The sequence below is a fragment of the Homo sapiens genome, chromosome 8 (genome assembly GCF_000001405.40).
Source record: "Homo sapiens chromosome 8, GRCh38.p14 Primary Assembly".
Lineage (NCBI taxonomy): Eukaryota > Metazoa > Chordata > Mammalia > Primates > Hominidae > Homo > Homo sapiens.
This window is the reverse complement of record NC_000008.11, coordinates 29,466,443-29,473,343: the sequence shown is the minus strand read 5'-3', so window position 1 is coordinate 29,473,343 and position 6,901 is coordinate 29,466,443. Positions and strand designations below refer to the sequence as shown.

At 43.0% G+C, this 6,901-nt stretch overlaps 1 annotated feature.

Moving 5' to 3' along the window:
- Positions 3,726 to 4,095: an enhancer, noted in NCBI's record as "active region_27193". NCBI's record gives its function as "activates an Ori minimal core promoter by ATAC-STARR-seq in GM12878 lymphoblastoid cells {active_cell/tissue: GM12878}" and the evidence as "EXISTENCE:reporter gene assay evidence [ECO:0000049][PMID:35858748]".

Here is a 6,901-nt window from a genome sequence, read left to right as displayed (position 1 = left end):
AGTTAGGTGGCATTCCATACCATAGTATCCTCTATTACCCACTGAGTTCCATCTAGTTAGAAGCACACTAGGGAAAAAAATTGTGATTATGTCTGCATCCGTGGTGTGAGAGGCAGCCCCACTGAGGAGGCCACAGGTGCCTGGGGAGAGCAGCCCTACAAGCAGCAAGCTGTGGTTCTGGCCAGAGTGGGAAGAGAATCCCAAGAGACATATACCCCAGAGGCCAACACAGAGTGGTGGGACAAGAGGCTGCCAAAGATCATTGTCTACATTAAAGATACCTCCAGGGAACTCCCAGGCATTCTACAGGAAGGAGAAGACTAACCTTGAAAGGCTCTTGGGGTTCTACAGTTGACAGGGTGGAAAGATCCAGCATAATTGGGGCCTGGATAGTACTGTGATGTAATCTTATTTTTCTTAACATTTGTGAGGTCAGGCAACATCGAGTTTACCCACCCAGGAAAGGGTTTGTAGACAGTTTCTCAACCATTCATAGAAAGGCGAGTACCTTCATCTCTCTGTCAACCACTGTGTATGGTTTGCACAAATACAGCCATAGAAGAAGTAAATCATAGAAAACAAGCAGGTGTGTAAACTCTTGTTGGGCACCATGGAAAACGTGGTTTGCCACAAGATAGTGGGGCTCAGAAATGATCCCACCAAGAGATATTTAAAACTGGGTGATGCGTGGGCTGGGTGCTGTTTTCAGTGTTTTCTCATTCAGAGGAGCAGCATTTTTGCCTACCTGTGAACTCAGACCCATCAAACCTCTAGTTTACAAATCAAATCCCATGCACTCTGGAATGGACCTGTCTGTCAGTGATGTCAAAGATGTCCCTGAGGGCTTTCAACAAGGTGATGTCACCTTAATGTTTTCGATTTAACACATTTCCTTTCCATTGACTCAGCCCTGACACTGTCTTACGTTCTATGATGAGAAAGCAGGGGAGCAGAGGCCAAGGCTATCTCTTCCTCCTCTGAGGATTGAGGGGACTGTGTATGTGCCAAAAAATAAAAAATAAATGCTGCTTGGCATAGTAGCACGCACCTGTGGTCCCAGCTCCTCGGGAGGCTGAGGTGGGAAGATCATTGAGCCCAGGAGTTCGTGGCTACGGTGAACTATGATTACATCACTGCACTCCAGCCTGGGTGACAGAATGAGACTGTCTCTAAAAAGTATTTTTTATAAGTAAAAATAATAGTAACAAATAAATGTTTATTGTTTTAAAAAAAACTGAAGAGTATAGACATATATAAAAATTAAAATTAAGGCCAGGCACAGTGGCTCACGCCTGTAATCCCAGCACTTTGGGAGGCCAAGTTGGGCGGATCACAGGTCAGGAGTTCGAACAAGCCTGGCCAATATGGTGAAACCCTGTCTCTATTAAAAATACAAAAATTAGCTGGTCATGGTGGCAGGCTCCTGTAGTCCCAGCTACTTGGTAGGCTGAGGCAGGAGAATCGCTTGAACCTGGGAGGCAGAGGTTGCAGTGAGCCAAGATCATGCCACTGCACTCCAGCCCGGGTGAGAGAGCGAGACTCCGTCTCAAAAATAAATAAAAAAATAAAATAAAATAAAAGTCCAATATTTTCCAATAACCCCACCCAAATGCAGACAATTCAGACCCCTAAGGTAGACACTGTTAAGAGATTGGGATGTGTGTTTTTATTTTCTAAGAATATACAAGTACTCCCCACCAACACATCAAAAAAATGTAGTCACACTAAACACATAAAGTGGACATCCTACTGTTTTCTTTTTTCTTTCCTTTTTTTCTTTTTCTTGTTTTTTTTTTTTTTTTTTTTTTTGAAACAGAATCTGGCTCTGTCACCCAGGCTGGAGTACAGTGGCACAATCTCGGCTCACTGAAACCTCCGCCTCCCAGGTTCAAGCAATTCTCCTGCCTCAGCCTCCTGAGTAGCTGGGACTACAGGCGCACACCACCACACCTGGCTAATTTTTGTATTTTTAGTACAGACGGGATTTTACCATGTTAGCCAGGCAGGTCTGGAACTGCTGACATCAGGTGATCCGCCTGCATCGGCCTCCCAAAGTGCTGAGATTACAGGCGTGAGCCACCGCACCCAGCCCATCCTACTGTTTTCAATCAAACTCTGTCTTGGACAGCTCTCCATGTCAGTATCTACAGAGTCTCCTTATTATATTTTTTAATAGCTGCATGGCTATCCCATTCTATATATGAACCATATTTATTTAACCTATCTTTTATTAATAGACATTTAAGTTATTTTGAGTTTTTTGTTATTACACGGAATGCTGCAATACATATCTTTTGTACAGTTATCCTTGGAGATGTGTATAATTTATTTCTATAAAATAAATTTCCTGAAGTAAAATTGCTGGATCAAAGGTGTCTTAGTCCATATGTACTTCTATAACAAAATACCTGAGACTGGGTGCCATGGTTTGACTGTTTATCCCCCTCCAAAACTCATGTTGAAATACATTGCCAATGTAATTGTATTGGGAGATGGAGCCTTTAAGAGGTGATTAAGACACTAAGGCTCCACCCTCATGAGTGGGTTTAACTATTTTTTTTTTTTTTTGAGGCAGGGTCTTGCTGTGTTGCCTAGGCTGGAGTGCAGTGACACGATCATGGCTCATTTCAGTCTCAACATCTTGGGCTCAATCGATCCTCACACCTTAGCCTCACAAGTAGCTGGGACTACAGGTGCTCACCATCATGAATGGCTAATTATTTTATTTTATTTTATTTTATTTTATTTTATTTTATTTTATTTTTATAGAGACAGGGTCTTGCTATGTTGCCCAGGCTGGTCTCAAACTCCTGGGCTCAAGCAAACCTCCCACCTCAGCCTCCCAAAGTGCTGGGATTACAGACATGAGCCACTGCACCTGGCCTAATACCTTAGTAAAAGGACTTTCAACAGTAGGCTGTTTCACTATTCTGCTATGTGAGGGACAGTGTTTCTCCATTCGGGAAGATGCAATGCTCCAGGCACCATCTTGGAAGCAAAGACCAAGCCTTCACCAGACACCAAAACTGCCAGTGCCTTGATCTTGAACTTCCCAGCCTTCAGAACTGTGAGAAACAAACTTCTAATGTTTACAAATCACCCCGTCAGTGGCATTTTGCTATAGCAGCACAAAACAGACTGAGACTTTGGGTAATTTATGAATAATAGAAAAGTATTTCTCACAGTTCTGGAGGCTGGGAAGTCCTAGATCAAGGCACTGGCAGGTGAGACTTGGTGTCTGGTGAGGGCTGCTCTCTGCTTCCAAGATGGCACCTTCTTGCTATGTTCTCACATGGTGGAAGGGGTAAACTCTATGTCATCAGACAGCAAAAGAGATAGAAGGGCCAGGCAGCTCTCTGAAGCCTCTTTTATAGGGGCACTAATTTCATTCACAAGGTCAGGGCCCCCATGGCCTATTCACCTCCAAAATGCTCCACCCCTTAATACTATCACACTGGGTCTTAGATTCCAACATGGATTTTGGACAGACACAAACATTCAAACCATAACAAAGGAGAGGTGTCTATTTTTTTACTTTGATGAATACTTTCAAGAGGCTGTACCAGTTTATAGTCCCTATGAGGTGGCTTTTACAGGTACAGAGAGTGTCATATTTGCAGTAGTGATGTGTCCCAACCTTGCTTACTTGGCTTAGCAGTACAATCCTGTCCTGATCAAGACTGAAAGAACTCTCTGGTGTCTTGGCCTTTGGAAATTCAGCAAGTTTACCTAGCTCTGCCAGTTTATTTATGGACAAGGTGGTCCTCAGCAGTTACGGGGGTGGTGGTGTTTCAGAATGACAGAAGTTTGACACAGTTGGGTCCTTAGGGAGATAATTGAATCAACCACCTCATTTGGCAGCTGAGCAAATGGAGCTGTGGGTGGATGCTGTCTCTGGGTGCATGTCACCCTGTCCCCATCCTCCTGCAACGTGGGTGTGCAACAGTCATGCTCAGAATTTCTGGGTCTTTCCAGCGAAACCTCATGGGGGGAAAACATGCTCTCAGAAGTGCAGCTGCCACTAAAGGTTTGAGAGATGTTCTCAAAATGTACACCATCCCCAGCTGGATATGTAGTACCTGTCTGGTATGATCATAATGATAAGAGTATATTTGTTGAACAACAGATTGAAGTAGAAACTACTTTGTGTGGCATGACTCACCCTTCAGCATGTCATCTAAGGGGAGTATCTCCCATCCAAACCTTCCTGCTTCAGCCCTTAAAGTTGGAACTTCTTCCCTTTCAAAAGACCCTTGCAGAAGTAGGAGAGTAAACATCTACCCATGTTTTCAACTACCAATTTTTCCAACTCTCTCACTCCTCAACAAATCAGGAAGCCTGGTGTCTCTGAGTGGCGTCTCTGAGTGGTCAGATTGGGAAGGAGGAACAGCCAAACCTAGCCCCCTGTCTAGGAAGAGTCTGAAGGGGTCATCGAGCTCTGACTATGGGTACGCATCGGAGTGGGGATGGATGGGTAACTTGATTTGAGCTCATGGTGGCTGTAGTTCCAAGCTGTGTCCTTAGCATAGCTCATCAGTAAGGTAATATTTTCATCTGACCCCTGTTTCTATATCTTGACTGATGCAGAACTCACAGGAAGAAAGGGGTTTTATTTATTGGCTCTCTTTTATCCACAGCATCCTCCCTCAAAGACTCTGGGCCTAGAAGCTCAGGAAATAAGTGCTCCATGGTTTTCTACATGCAGTAGTGCTGGGCCACAGGTCCCCCATTCTCTTTAACTTCAAGGATCAGGCATCAGGTTGAATTGGGTCTCTCAAGTGTGTTCAGTTAGGTGGTACCCCTTTCACCTAGACGGGTAGGATTAGGAGCTAGGAACATCCTGGAACAAATGTAGGCCTATTAACAAGGTGGGCAGAGGTGCCAGCAAAGACAAACTGCAAATAAGACTTGTGAGACCAAATACACACACACACACACACACACACTTGTGGTAGTGGTAGAAAGAGAAAGAAATTAGAAAAGAAAAAAATATACAATTGAGCCATATGTCTTGAATTGTTAGGAATGTTCCCGGTATATCCTGGTGTTGGGGGAGATCCAAAAACAAATTGTAGACTAATGGGTTTACTTCAATTATATTTGGGTAAAAACAAACCAAAAAAGAATCTACCTATATGTAAATGTGCATTTGCATCTGTTTGAAAGAACAAGGGAAAAATTGGAAAGTCTACAACAGGTGTTAGCATTGGCAGCTCAAGGCGATGGGGTTGAAGATGAGGCTAAAGGAGATGATTTGCTTTTACTTTGTGTATCTTTATATGATTTCAATTGTTAGAATAAGCATGTATTACTTTTGTATTTAAAAATATTAATGGCTGGGGGCAGTGGCTCACGCCTGTAATCCCAGCACTTTGGGAGGCTGAGGTGGGTGAATCACCTGAGGTCAGGAGTTCGGGACCAGCCTGGCCAACATGGTGAAACCCCGTCTCTACTAAAAATACAAAAATTAGCCCGGCATTGTGGCCGGCACCTGTAATCCCAGCTACTCGGGAGGCTGAGACAGGAGAATCACTTGAGCCCGGGAGGCAGAGGTTGCAGTGAGCTGAGATTGTGCCATTGCACTCCAGCCTGGGTGACAAGAGCGAGGCTCTGTCTCAAAAAAAAAAAAAAAAGAAAAGAAAAAAGAAAAAGAAAAATATCAATCAATGAAGGAGATTTGGTGAAAATAAAAAGGAAATGTTAGTTTCAAATTTGTATGTTTCTCTGTATTTAGGGGTAAAGTAGAGAAGGAAAAAAAAGGAAAAGTGTAGAATAGTGTCTGTCATATGATCTATTATGTCAACAAAAAAAATTCATTCATATATACAATGGTATATGCATCAAAATATCTTTCAGTATCATTTAAAATATTTGTTGAAGTGTGTAATTCTTTCATTTGTCAAAAAATTGTATTTATAAATAATTTATAATACAAGGAAACAATGCTCATAATGTCTTAAACAAAAGAGTAGTATATGAAACTGCTTATAAAGTAAAATTTCAGTAGTGAGGTAACAGTAGGGGAAAATGCACAAAGGACTAGATGAGAAAAATGCCAAAATGTTAATAATGATGGTGAAATTATAGGTGATGTTTCTGAAAATTAAAAATGTGTCCTCTGACAGGGCACAGTGGCTCATGCCTGTAATCCCAGCACTTTGGGAGTCCGAGGCAGGCGGATCACCTGAGGTCAGGAGTTCAAGACCAGCCTGGACAGCATGGCAAAACCCCGTCTCTACTAAAAATACAAAAATTAGCCAGGCATGGTGGCGCACGCCTGTCATCCCAGCTACTGGGGAGGCTGAGGCATGAGAATCACTTGAACCCCGGAGGCTGAGGTCGCAGTGAGCTGAAATTGTGACACTGCACTCCAGCCTGGGTGACAGAGTGAGACTCTGTTTCAAAACAAACAAACAAAAAAAAAAGTGCCCCATGGGCATGACTTTACCTCTGTTTCAATGAGGTTGGGACAGGCTTTGCCTAGTGGTGGATGGAAGCAAAGTCTAGAACCACAGCATCTATTTGGTATCTCTCTAAGGTCACAAACGATGTCTTAGCCACAGGCTAGAACACGCAAGGGAGGGTACAGTAAATGCTATCCTGGCGGCACAAAGAGAAAGCAGCTACCAGCCTCTGCCCTAATGGCAGGATCAGTACCCTTTGCTCTGAGTACAAGCAACATAATTAAAGACAGAAAAGAATCCACTGGGCTTAATGGAAGTGAGAAATATTCCATGCAAAACAGCTGCCTGGATTCAAATTCCAGGTCTGCAATTTCGATCAGTTGTAAGCTTCTTAATCTCTCCGTATTTCCATTTTTTCATTGGTAAAATGGGAGTAATAATAATCTATGCCTCATAGGATTATTATGAGACCTTAATGAGTTAAGAGATGTGAACAC